General features: G+C 35.4%; 1 long non-coding RNA gene across 5 annotated transcripts in view; it reads left to right on the top strand.

Annotated features, from left to right (window-relative positions):
* LOC105377177 (uncharacterized) overlaps nucleotides 1–14,889 on the top strand; it is a 250,124-nt gene that overhangs the window by 10,045 nt on the left and 225,190 nt on the right. The gene's annotated exons all lie outside the window — the stretch shown is intronic.

The raw sequence follows: 14,889 nt of genomic DNA, 5'->3' as shown, positions 1-14,889 counted from the left end.
TGATAGTTTTTTATTTTATCAAACATCCTTCCAGAATATTATTTTATTTCAATTTTGAAAAGTTCATTTTGAACTTTAAGTTTGAAAATGTTGTTAATTCACTCATTGAAAAACTTTATTTTAATATATTAGATATTCACGAAGATGAAAGCCTAAAATAGCATGTGACCTAATGAAAGATAATAAGCAATGCATTACTTAATAAATATATTACAATAAATTGCAGAGAAGCTCCATGGAGTGCATAAGTAAAAGAAGTGTCGTGTTAGCTGGGCATTAACATATGAAGAATTGGACAGATGGAAATTAATGAAGAATTGTGGCAGATAGGCTTGAATAAGCAAAACAGTAAATTTTGATACAGTGGAGGTAAAATCAGACATAGTTTACATAGCTCATAGAGCAAAGATAGAAGGTTAAAAATGGAAAATTGTTGGCTAGATAAATCAGGATTCAATGGGGGGTAATTTTCAAAGCTGTCCTAGGGAGTTTGACTTTTATTCCACAGTCCACAGAGAACAAAGGAAGGCTGTTAAGCAAGAAAGTAACGTGTTCACAGATATGCTTTGTAAAAGACTAGTATGTTAAGATATCCCAGAGGCAGGAGAGGCTACAGAAAGACAGATACTTGTCAATATATTGTAATAAGCTGAATGGAAAATTACTGAATTTCTAAATTAATGTAATCATAGGGATGGAAAGGAAAGATATTCTGTGAACTTTCAGAAATGAGCAATAGAGAGATGTGATGAACGATAGAGAGAGACAGTGAAAGTGATCAGAAGATTTTAAATCTAATAACAAAGGTGGTGGGGCTATTAACAGACAGAAATTTGGCGATGGCAATGGTGTGTGTGTGTGTGTGTCTGTGTGTGTGTGTCTGTGTGTGTGTGTTAGAGAGAGGGAGAGAGAAACGAGTGAGAGAGCTAGAACAACTTTTCAGTATACTTATAACAGAAATTTCAATGAGAAATGCAGAAGTAATGGTAAAATGGAAGGCTGGGCATATAGTAATGAAAGTAATTCACAGAAATAGGTGGGTTGGAGTATTAGTTTGTATTTCTCATGCACAAAAAATAAAAGAAAACTGAGAATTCATTCTATGGGAGTTCTCCTGTTGAATGGATGTAACAGAGGTAAAAGATAATGGAGTAAATAAATTAAAGAGAACAAACAGGAATGTAGAAGAAATTCTAGGACATTATGTAAACATTACACCTGGTCCAACCAATCCATGGGCCCTATGTAAATCAGACACTGCCTCCTCAAGCCTACCTATAAAATCTGGTGCACTCCTACTCTGGGACAGATTTCCCTTTTGGGAACCCCCTCTCTCCTGTAAGAGAGAGAGCTCTTCTCCTTTCTCTTTCTTTTGCCTATTAAACCTCCCTAATCTTCTTATCCTTAGTCTTCTTGGCATGAGCCAATGAATGCCCTGGGTATTTACCCCAGACAATGATGCCATTTCAAATACATGATTGTATACCAATTTCCCTTATAATTCACTTTTACAATTTCGAAAACTAAATTATTGACCATAGAAATTGTAAAATACTTGAAAAATTGACTTTATGTAGGCATGTTGAAGGTAAATTATGTAAAGAAACTGATAGAGAAATAAAATTATGCTGTATTATAAAGTCTTACCATGAACACTTCTATGAACACTATGGGTAGATTATTTTCCATATATTAAATATTTTTAAAAATTGTTTTTGAAACAATATTCAGAAACACATATATAAATTTTCAATGTAATTTAGTTATCTCACACCATAAAAAATTTTAGACAAATAATGTTAACACAGAAGTTTGAAAAGCATTGTCTCATATTTATATGCTTTATCTATGACCATTTAATAGTATATGATAGTGGCTTACTAAAACCTTATAGAATACATGCTTTCTAATAAATGTACCAACTGAAATTTAATTTTTTACAAACAAGTTTATCTACATGTGAAAATATATTTTTATGGAAAATATTTCATAATCTTTTTTACTAGATAATGATTTTAAAATAGAAGTTTCATGGTTGACCTAAAGTTTGATGTCAAGGGCAAACATTTCTGACTGGATTTTAAAATTCCCCAAATATTATTTCTCTGAAAAGTAGAGGAAAGTCTCAGAAAAATTTGAAGTCATGAATGTATAGAATGTGGCATGCCTAATTTATGTCAGGGTGACATCTGTACTTTAGATGTTTGTTATTTAAGAATTAGTACATACACCATTATCACTGTCTCACTTCTGACAAAAACAATTTTCACAGAAGCAACACCAAAACCTCAAACACACATTTCTGGAGGGAGATGTAGTAGTAAGTTAACCCAAGAGCAGAGGATCCTTTCCTGCTATCCTGAGACACTGTGATCCCAAGGCACTTTTACAACCTCCTCATGGCACATGCTCAGCCTCCTGTTTTGGTAGAAACCAGATGACATCACTTTTTGTTTCTATGAAAAAGTCTAATTATTAAATCACATGAATTTTGTGTGTTTGTGTGTGTGTGTTTGTGTGTGTGTGTGTGTCACGGAGTTTTGCTCTTGTTGCCCAGGCTGGAGTGCAATGACATGATCTCGGCTCACTGCAACCTCTGCCTCCTGGATTTAAGCAATTCTGCTGCCTCAGCCTCCCGAGTAGCTGGGATTACAGGTATGCACCACCATGCCCGGCTAATTTTGTATTTTTAGTAGAAACGGGGTTTCACCATGTTGGTCAGGCTGTTCTTGAGCTCGTGATCTCAGGTGATCCATCTGCCTCTGCCTCCCAAAGTGCTGGGATTACAGGTGTGAGTCACCGTGCCCAGCCGATCATTTTGTTTAAGTTTAGAATTGTTAGAGGTGATGTACCTAGGTCAACAATCGATGTGTAAACTATGCCATCAACACTATACAGGCTTCAGAATGGAGACTATACTAGGCATAAGGAAGTGGTCTATTTGGATGGCTATACGTATCAGCTGGACAGAGAGAACTATACAGCCAAGAAAGAAAGGTGGCCAACTAAAGAGAATACCTATGGGGGCCAGAAACCCTTCAGATTACAACTTAGCTTTAGTCAGAAATGTTACCTCAATCCAGCCCAAGAGTTCTTATAAAATGACCATGTATTTCTGTTGTAGGGATAGGAATAGGTTACCTACTGTGTGGTAGCTTATATTAGTGTTCAAAAAATAATCACTCTTCTCCCTACGTACTTCTTCATAGGCAAAGTGTAGTGCTCACCCTCACTGATAGTGAGTTTTGTTTTGTGCTTTGGTTTGGCCAATGGTATGTGGGCAGAAGAGACAGCATATACCAGTTATGAGCCCAGGTATTACATATTTGTTTTACTTACTTGCTTGTTGTTCCCAACTTCTGCAATGAGTAGATGTCCAAAGTAGCTTTTATTCCTTAAGTTTAGGCCCATAAGAAAATACATGAAGCTGACTCACAGCCTGAAACAAAGGTGAATTGAACCACAGCCAGAAGCAGAGCTTCTCCAGCCAATCTGTGTAATTGTTTATGCCACTGAGATTTTATATATGTTTGTAGTTGTTGTTACACAGCAATAGTTAACCTATATACCCAGAGACAATGACCTTAATGTATTTTTCTCATGTTTGATCAAAGACTAAGAAGATGGTGTGAGATGTTCAAGAAATAGTATAAATGTAGCACACCTTCTACACTGCACTGCTGTTGACTGATATTTTCTAATGCCATGATTAGAACTTCTTGCATATTGGAGGCATTCAGTCTGTTACCTATACCTCGTTTTATGTTATTGATATTATAATGATTTCTTCAATAGTACGTTCTCAGCCCAGGATCTAAACTTAGGAAATTGTCGTGGATTTTTCAAGGGTCAAGTTGAAAAGAAGAGATTCTAGAGAAGAGATTACCATTCTTTCTGAATATAAGAGGGATCCTTTGACTGAAAATTCTTTAAAGAAAGAGAGCCAAAAGTTTCCCTACCAGCAAGAGGAGAGAATAAATAATTTAGTAATTTCCATGAAATAACATGTTAGCCTTAACTCCTAGGCCTTGATATACTTGAGAGAGTCAAATACATACCTAAGGCACAGTCTTAACAAGGCCTATGCAGGCCCAAGTATGACAGTTTAAGTAAGTCATGATATCCTCTTGGTTAGAACCTTTAATGGCCTCCAATTGTGTTAAAAGAGAAGAAAAAGGGAGCCCCTTTACTTGGCTATCAAAGCCCTGCAACACCTGGCCCCTGCCAGCTTTTCGTACTTTATCACTAAGCAACCATTTCCTCCAGTTCTCATTATGCTTCAACCTAATTGTCTTTATTTGTATTCCTCAAAAATTAACAAGCTTTTTCTCACCTCCAGGATGTCATCCTTATTGTTCTGTTTGTCTCAACTGATCTTCCCCCAGAGCTCTTCATATGACTGGCTGATTCTTATTCTTTAAACCCAGTTCAAATATCATCTTCTAAGAGATGCCTTCCTTGCTATACCATCTAATGAGACCTTCTCCAATTTCATCCTGCATTTAAAAAAAAATTTATTTATTTGTATTTGATTAGTTTTGAGAGAGGGTCTCATCCTTTTGCCCAGGCTGGAAGGTATGTAGCTCACTGCAGCCTTAACCTCCTGAGCTCAAGTCATACTCACACCTCCCAGAGTGCTCAAGTCACGCTCAGCCTCCCAGAGTGCTGAGATTACAGGCATGAGCCTCAGACCTAGCCTACACCCAACCTCTTACCTTGTCCATTCCCTACTAGTATATAATAAAATAGGCAATTACTTTGTTTATTTTTAAATGTGCTTACTGCCTGTCTCCCTTATTAAAATATAATGTAAGAAGAATGATATGTCTTATTTATTGATAATTGATAGATGGATATCATAAGATGGCATACTTCAACTTAAAATTAAGAAATTAAGAAGATGTTTATTTCATTGGGGCTCTCCTACATCCATGAATTCCTCATTGATACACATGTTAAATTATAGTCGATGATTTATATATTCACTGAGAGCAAGAATCACACTTTCAGCATATTAGCAGTCCATGTAACAAGTCACCTCAAAATTTAGTGTCTGAGAACAACGAACATTTATTATGTCTGGGTTGCTGTGGGTCAGAAATCTCGAGGCAGCTTGGGTCGCTCTGACTCTCAGTCTGTCATTTGTAACCAAGCTTTCAGACGGATGGTTAGTTTTCTTAGGACTGGGTTGGCATTGAATGATTCACTTCGAAGCTCACTCACGTGATTGTTGTCAGTCTTCAGTTCTTCAAGGGCTCCTGGACCTCTTCACAGGGCTACATGAAGCTCTCCGTAGGGCTCTTCACACATGGCAATTTGTTTTTCCCAGTCTGAGAAATGGGGCACAGAATGTGACAGGGGACTCTGACAGTGAGAACAGTCCTTGCCTTTTTTTTTTATTCCACAGGTTCAGATATACCACAGGTTAAATTATGTCTAAAACATATTTGTAATGCACAGTGAAATCACACCTATGGTTGATTACAGAGAGAGAGAGAGAGAGAGACTTTCTGTATCCTAATCTCAGAACTGACATTCTTTCACATTTGCCAAATTAGAAGCTAGTACTTGCATTCCCTTGAATGTTAAAGGGAATGATATTACAAAAGGCATCAAGATCAGGAGGCTAGGATCATCTTAGAAGCTGCCTTCCACAATCAAGAGTATTCTGGTGTTGGTTAGCAGCTTATCCTGGATTAACTCTAAATTTCATTCAGTGCTAGTATTTTTCTATTAAATTTGTCATTACAATACTTGGAACACCAAAAAGATATGGTGATTATTTGTGAGGCACATTTTCAATGCAACCCCTGCTCTAGTAGAGTCAATTGAATGCAGGAAGACTGAAGAATCCAAATATGCCAGTCACTTTCAGTTATATATTCATTCACTGAACAAATGCTGGCTATGTATCTACCATGCCAGGAACATGTTAAATTATGCAAATATACTGAAGAAGAAAAAAGTGTCTGTCTTCATGGAACTTAACTACAGTGGAGAATAACCATGTTATAACCACAATAATCAAATGTTTAACTGCATTTAAACTTTGCTGGATAATGCCAATAGAATACTTTTTTTTTTAACTCCACAGATTCCACTCTAATGCAGAGTGGAATCACAGGTATGCTTGGTTAACTTATAAGTAAGTGTTTAAGGCTTTCCTCAACATTCACATTATAAAGATGTTACGCTGTATCATTATTTGTTGCGTTGATAAACCAACAGCAAAACAAGCTGTGCTAGATAACATTGCCTTCATATTGGTTTGTGACTAAATGTTGTTTGATGGACTATGAATCTCAGTTCATGGATTAAAGGTATGACAACATCAAATAGCTCTGAGGCTTACATAAAGCATCATCAAAATTCATAGTAAACACAGCAGGAGAGACTACAGATATGTAGAAATTCATTGTCAAGAAAGTATTGCCATTTTGCATGAAATTGATAAGGCCTATATAACCAGATCAAGGTAAAGCTCTTTCCATCTCCTTAATATTTTTTAAAGCTTACAATATGTGAGGAAGGAAAAAAAAATCTTCAGACATAGAATTATGAATCACGGAGTTATTCAGCAGACGGCCTATATAGTTTGTTGACTTATAACATATAACTTTGTAAATTTCAGAGTATGTTATTTCTTATCATCATTGCTTGGGCCGTCTTTTTTCCTGGCCAATTTTCCAGGAGTATTCCCAGAAGAATAGAATGAAACTAGCCTGCTTGAACTTTTTCTGTGATGTGTTTGACAGAAAACAACTTTTGTCTTTCAAAGGAAGGTAAACAATTGCTGAGGGATTGAACCTGTTTCCAGGCTCATTACTACGCATATTAAGGACTGAAAGAATGACCGAGGAAATCTTTCAATTGCTTGTATTTTGAATACAAGTTGCCTTCATTTTTTAAAAAGTTTAATGACTTGGGATTTCATTTCCACCAAATAATGAAGCCGGTGCAGGACTGCAAATTGTGTCTTGGATGTTGCCATGCACTGCTGCACTTGATAGATAATTTATTCAGAGTCCTGGAAGAAAGCTTTTTAAAAATAACTGACATTGAGGATGCCAATAAACATTGATGCCATGCGCGTGCCAGCTGTGAAATCATTAGTAGGTGAAACACCCTACCGTGCAAACAGCTTCAAACTGATTTGAGGGATGTATTTTAGCCAAAGGCATAAATGAATTCATGAATTTGCCCTACTTACTGTTCTCTGTCTCAGTTCTGTCTTTTAAAATTTTTATTTATTTATTTCTTGTATTCATTTAGGTTGGTGGATATAGCATCTGAATAGGCAGAGTGCTCTATTTTTTTCTTGATGAAAAGGGAATTGCTATTACAGTCTGTTATCCAAAAATTACCATAACAAATCTGCCCTTCCAATTAGCTGGTGCATGGAAAGATTAGTTGAAATTTGGCCTGGAACTTTTTATTAAGACTAAATAGGAAACCATGTGTATATATTGGTATTAGTTTGTGTTATGAGACACATAGACACACATATTTTATTTCTGCTATAAACAATTACGAGAAATAATTAGGTTGCTCTATATATCCACAGAGAACAAAAATAGGACCTATGGATACAGACTAAAATAACTCATTTTGAATAATGGAGAATTTTCTAATGATATAGCTGGCTGAAGAGAGGGTTTTGTTCTCTTTTTTTGTTTGTTTGCTTTCCCATAGCTAGTAAGTTTCCTGTCCCTGAAATAAATAGATGCTGGATACCTACTTGGTAGCAATGGTGTACTGATAATGTAGGCTTCAAATAGCAGGAATATTCTGCCAGAAGAATTCAAAGATATTTTTCAACCTTTTGGTTTCTATCATTTTTCTGCATAGAAAATTTCTCCAGGCTAATTCTAGCTTTATAATATGAGGAGAGGTAAACTGAAATATGAGAGAGAAAAGTGCAACATAGAATTTCCGACACTGTAATTGGGAATATTTAGTTTCCTCTTTTTAAATTAAAAGTCCTTTGGAACAAAAAACACTGGAAAAGCCGCTATGAATTTGGGCCTTTTGGTTGATTTTTGCAATAATCATTCAACATCATCTTTATTTTTACTTAATTATGATATCTCTTCCTTCTCTTCTTTTGCATGTCTTTTCAAAAGTATCCAAGTAAGCAAATAAAAATTTTAAGATTATTTTTGTGGAACCACAATATCATCAGCTAAATGTAACCAATTTCACAATTCGTAGTATAATTAGCATTCTATTATATTGAATGACTTCTTAAAACATTTCTTAACATATTACATTCATCTGATTTAACTAACAAGTTGCAACATGTAGATTTGCTGAAATTTGACCTTTTTGAGTTAAAAATATGCCAACTTCATATATGTTATGTTGTAGTAACAAATAAGATATTACTGGTATAAGACAGTTTTTTCCTTACACAAAGACTGACAAAGAACATTGGGGTTTCTCTTGCAGGCTCTGCAATTCTGTATTCTCAATAGCAGACCATTATTCTCAACAGCCATGGAAAAGGCAAGGTGTAGATAGTAAAGTAGCTCTTACATTACTCAGCTTAGAAATAGAACATGCTATTTCTGTTCATAGCTTAGCCAAAACTGGTGCCATTGTCTCATCAAAATTGCAAGTAATGTCAGGAAATGCAGGCAAGGGAGCACCACAGTTTCAGTTTTGTAGGTCTAATATATGTCATAAATTTCATGCTACATACCACTGCTATTGATGCTTTTTTCCTGATGGAACCCCGACTCCCTGATAAACACATTCATAGGTACATGCTATTATTCTCTTAGTGTTGCAGATGGAGAAACTTGGGACAGAGATAACCAAGGTACTATCTTATAAGTGATGGAGCCAGGATTCAACCCCAAACTGTCCAGCAAATGGTAGTCTGCAATCCAACATGAATTTATTAAAAGCCATGTTATGTTGTAGAGAGGAGAGTGTAGGGAGCTGCATGTAAAATGACCTGGACTTAAGTCTTAGCTTTATCACCAATTAGTGACTCTAAAACCCATTGAAGAATTCTTTCTACTACTTCTCTCATCGGTGTAACAATTGAGGGATATTAGGTGATCTTTAATATTTTTCATCTTAAAAATGCTATAAATTTACTGGACTAGGCTAGTAAATTTTTTTCTCCCCCAAATTGCACCTCCATCCACAGAAATTTAAAGGGGTAGCTGATGTCCACAAACACTCTGGTATGCAGGCTCTAAAGTTACAGTCTGTGCAATTGAATCCAGACTCTTACTTGCCTGTGGTAGGCAGAGTAATGGCCCCACGAAGATGTCCACGTCTTAATTCCTGGAACCCGTGAATATGTTATGTGGCAAAACGACTTTGTATATGTTATTAAGGATCTTGAAATGAGGAGGATAAGTCCAACATAAGGACAAAGAACCTTATAAGAGAAAGAGGGAGGTGGAAGAGTCAGAGTCAGGGAAGGAGATGTGATGATGTAATCAGTGGTAGGAGGAATGCAGAGTCAAGAGCCAAGGGATGGGGCAGCTTCTGGAAGCTGCAAAAGCAAGTAAATGAATTATTTCCTTCAGCTTCCTCTGATCCATTTTGGATTTGAAACCTCCAACATTTTAAGATAAGACATTTGCATTGTTTTAAGCCATTAAGTTTGTGGTGACTTGTTATAGTTTTAATCCAAAGCTTATTCATTGCCTAATATTATCCTACCCCATGACTCATTCCAGGGCTATCTTCTCTTTTCTGTCTATGTGCTTTCCCTTAGTGATAACGTCAACTATCACAACTATCAATGCCATTTCTATGAAGTTGAACACTTCTTCTAGCCCAGGATTTTATGTCCAGCTTTCTAGTTTATACCTCGTCAATGCTGATACTCAAATTAGATTACACATGGCCAAAATACTCTTCTCCTCCCAGGACTCCTTGTCTCAGAAAATGAAACAGCTGTCTTCTCAGTTGCTAAAGCCAGTTATTTAAGAATTATTCACAATTCTGCTTTTCCTACCATCCGCTATCTAACTAAATTTGCAAGTTCTACAATGTTATCTCCAAAATGTGTCCCTTCCTTTTTGTTTTACTGGGCTCAGCCCTGATTATTTTTTGTCTGAGCTTCCACAGTAGGCTTACTCACAGGTCTCCCTGATTCCACCCCTGCCCCATTCTGATCCATTCCACGTACAGTATTTTGAGTGATCTTTATTTTTTTAATGTTATGCCAAATTATGTCACAACTATGTTTAAAATTATCTAATGGCTCCTCATCCTTCTAAAACAAACCCCTAGCCAGTTACCCTGGTATATCTGGACCTTTCCTAAGTACCAAATTATCTATTCTATTTTAGTATCAGTTTGTTCTTCAACATCACACTATAAACCCATTGGTCTTCTTTATGTTGTTCCTGGAGCCCTCTGACTCTGAATTTATTCCTACTTAGGGTCTTGGTATTGCTCTTTCTCTATTGAAATGTCCTTTCTCCTTTTCTGAAGATACAGCTTGTTCTTTTCAGGTATGATTTCTCAGCTTATCTACTCCTCTTTTTTTGCACTTGTATTTATAATCTCTGTTTAGGTTCCTTGGCTGTCTGAGGGCTACTCTCACTGGTGCCTTCGGAACACCTGAGCAAGAACTTTAATTAGCTGCCTCTCTGTTTCTTTAGACAAACATTTTCTCCGTTCCCATGGTTGAGGATACACTGGTTCTGACAGTAATGCTGGGCTTTTTCTTTTTCCTTTTTTTTCTGTTTGAGGTTTTTTATTATTATTATTATACTTTAGGTTCTAGGGTACATGTGCACATGTACAAACGTGAAGGTTTGTTACATTTGTATACATGTGCCATGTTGGTGTGCTGCACCCATTAACTTGTCATTTACATTAAGTATATCTCCTAATGCTACCCCTCCCCAGTGCTGGGCTTTTTCTACCAACAAACAGCTCTTCCTCTTCTTCTCTGATTTGTACTCTGTTTTTCCATGTGAAACATCATACCGAAGGTCGAACATGTCTAGGAATACTGCCTCCTTTAGGGAGAGGAGACACAAATCATGTACTTTCTAGTCTACAGTATCCATATTGTCTCTCATAGATATTGCATTCTCTTGTTTTCCATTTTTCAAATACTAATCAGTATTTGGTATTTTCTTCTTTGTATATTGATTTGTCTATCTCACTCTCACTCTGTCACAATATTGTAGGCTTCAGGAAGCAAGGACATTGTCTTGTTTAATGTTGTATTCTCTGTGACTGACATAGTGCTTAGCACATTAAATATTTGTTAAGTAGATATATAAGTTTGGTAATTGGTGACCAGGCTTCCCATAAATTCAGTTGTATCAGAATTTTACAACCGAAGTGGGGAGGGGATGCCCTATTCAATGAATGATGCTGGGATAACTAGCTGTCAATATGTAGAAGAATGAACCTGGACCGCTACCTTTCAAAATATACAAAAATTAACTCAAAATGGAATAAAGATTTAAATATAAGACCTTAAATTATAAAAAAAAATCCTGCAAGAAAACTTAGGAAATACTATTCTGGACATAAACCTTGGAAAATAATTTATGACTAAGTCCTCAAAAGCAATTGCAACAAAAACTAAAGAGCTTCTGCACAGCAAAAGAAACTATCAACACACTCAAAAAGACACCCTACAGAATAGGAGAAAATATTCACAAACTATGCATCTGACAAAGGTCTAATATCCACAGTCTAAAAGGAATTTTAATAATTCAACAAGCAAAACACAAATAACCCCATTAAAAAGTTGGCAAAAGACATGAACGGGCACTTCTCAAAAGAAGACATACAAGAGGCCAACAGATATGAAGAAAAAATGTTCAGCATCACTAATCATCAGAGAAATGCAAATGAAAACTACAGTGAAATACCATCTCACTCTAGTCAGAACAGCTCTTATTAAAAAGTCAAAACATTCTAGACGCTGGCAAGGCTGTGGAGAAAAGGCAACACTTATACACTGTTGGTGGGGATTGAAATTAGTTAAGCCACGGTAGAGATCAGTTTGAAAATTTCTCTAGGAACCTAAAATGAAACTACCATTCAACCCAGCAATCCCATTACTGCCTATATTCCCAAAGGAAAATAAATTGTTCTAACAAAAAGACGCTTGCACTTATATGTTCACTGCAGCACTATGCACAATAGCAGACACGTGGCATTAACAGAGGTGCCCATCAACAGTGAGTTGGATAAAAGAAAATATATATTCACCTTTAAATACTAGGCAGCCATAAAAAGAATGAAATCACATCTTTTGCACAAACATGGATGCAGTTGGAGACCACTATCCTAAGTGAATTAACACAGAAACAGAAAACCAAATACTGCATGTTCTCATTTATAAGCAGGAGCTAACCACTGGAAACACATGAATATAAAGATGGCAACAACAGACACTGGGGACTACTTGGAACAAGGGCTAAAAAGCTACCTATCGAATACTATGCTTATTACCCGGGTGATAGGACCATTCATACCCCAAACCTCAACTTTATGCAATATACCCATGTAACAAAGCTGCGTGTGTACCCCCGAATCTAAAATAAAAGTTGGAATTATTTTTAAAAAACAGGAAATAAGTTCAAGGGATCTATTGCACAGTATGGTGACTATATTTAATGATGTTATATTGTATTCCTGAAAAATGCTAAGAGAGTGGATATTAAGTGTTCTCACCACAAAAATAACTATGTGAGATAATACACATATTAATTAGCTAAATTTAACCATTCCACAATGTATATATACTTTAAAAAATCATGTTGTACACAATAAATGCATATAATTTTATATGTCAATTTAAATAATTTTTTTAATTAAAGGAAAAGAAGAATTGTACAACTGAAAGAGGATAAGCAAGTTGTTTTGTTCATGGGTACTCAACAACAGATTGTGGGGATAAAAGGTCCCATGGACTTTCTCAGTAATTATTAGTTTTCCAGCCAAGCCTTATAGAACTTGCATATAATCTTTAGAGAGAGGGAAGCTGCCTGGAGAAAATAAGAAAATCTTCATTTTAGTTTTGAGAGTGAGGGCCAATCTGTATATCTGTGAAATATAAAGGCAAATGTTAATAACTTTGTGCCTAATTTGACATAAAAATGGGATTAGGCACTCTTCTTGAGTCTAAGTTAAACAATTTGATAAGGTGGGCACATTAACGGTTGCTTTATTGGTAAATTTGGAGAAGTCATACTTGCGGTTAATTACAGTGTGATTGCTGAGGATTACACTGTGAGCAGCAAGAAAATACAGATGGAAGTGAACAAGACAGCCACACAACATGGCATAAAGAAAGAGGTCTGACCACTCAGCCAAACTGTGCTGATGTGTTGACATGTTTTAAAACTATATTTCACTCTCTGATTTGTACTTTTGCTTTCAGTACCTTTGAATAGAGAGAATAATAATATCTTTTCCTTGGTGCCATTGCTCTAATTTACAAATGATATTGTGTAGGATGATAACTCATATCTTGGTATCTCAGATGCTTGAATAAATTATTATTCTTATTAATTTTCTGCCGCTGTAGGATGCTTTTATGCTTCTTATGTAAATGATTGACTTGCATAATTACATGCATGTCTAAGCACTGCTTTTTGAGAGATGACATCAATGAATTTAAAGATTTTATTTTAGATTGTCTTTCAGAATTCTTTCAGATGCCTTCCTGTGTATAATTAGCTCTGCTTGTGCTGAACAAAAGTGGGCCAAATTTATGCTAAGTATCATGACGCTATTTTTCTTTGACAATATATAGTGATATAAAGCATTTATATGTCTGCTCTCTAGTTTTCCATCATAATTTTTCCTCTTCAGAAAGTCGATGCATTATTCTATTCATCCTTCAGTCTTTCCACCCACCTACTCACCCATCCATTTATTCAGTCAAACTTTTTGGAGAACTCCCTATGTAACAGACATGGAGGTTTGCTCTGGTGATTTCAATTAGGATGACATGATCTTGTCATTGGAGAGGTCACAGGTTGTAGATGTGAAACACACTAATGAATAATTTGAAAGTGATGTGATAATTGTTTTAATTATATAAAAAGCACTTCACCTAGTTCCTTTCTCCTTAATGCTTGAAGAGCTTTATTAGAATTAAAAAACGAGGAGCCCTTAATGTTAGACGTTATTTAGACATCTAGAAGACTAAAACATGTTAGATAATTTAAAGAAAATACAGTGTTTGGCTTATGTTTATTAAAATGGGTATTAACATTTGGGAGCAAAAAATAGAAATTTATTATCTTGCTCAGTGCTCTTGTAAGAGCTCATAAGATATGCTTTACACTTTACGACCATTATAATGAGAAAAAGTAAGGGAAGATTATTCTAAAGGAGGAAAAGAGATTGAAGAAATTTGATAGTAAAATGTATATTAAAAAGGAAATGCAACTGAATATAGATGAACTCTATCAGTAACAAGAAAATGATATCTTTCCAGCTTAATTTACTTTGGCAAACACTTGCATGTATGCAATGGGAATATAATCTAAACACCTTATTAGAATATGTATCTCTTTGCTGCAGCTTGCTTTATCATATGCATAGATATATAATGCTCCCAGGAATAATTTATGGTTAAATGTGTTTTATTACCTGTTACCAAGAAAACCAAAGGGAGAAATACATATTCTTCAGTACTTTGAATATAATTTTTTTAAAAAAAATAATGTTCACATTTAGGAGACTCACTGATAATTTACATTACTTTCTATTGTAATCACATGTGATGAAAACAAATTAGGAAATATAAGGTAATTTAAAAATTTTAGTCTATTTGCCATACTTGTATAATGTCATACTGGAAAGTAGTTAATAAAGTACCGATACAAATTGAGAAATTGTGTGATTATGACCCTTAGTCACATTGAAAATATAGTTAAA

This window comes from Homo sapiens, chromosome 3 (genome assembly GCF_000001405.40).
Source record: "Homo sapiens chromosome 3, GRCh38.p14 Primary Assembly".
Taxonomy (NCBI): Eukaryota; Metazoa; Chordata; class Mammalia; order Primates; family Hominidae; genus Homo; species Homo sapiens.
This window is presented reverse-complemented; position numbering and strand designations above follow the sequence as displayed.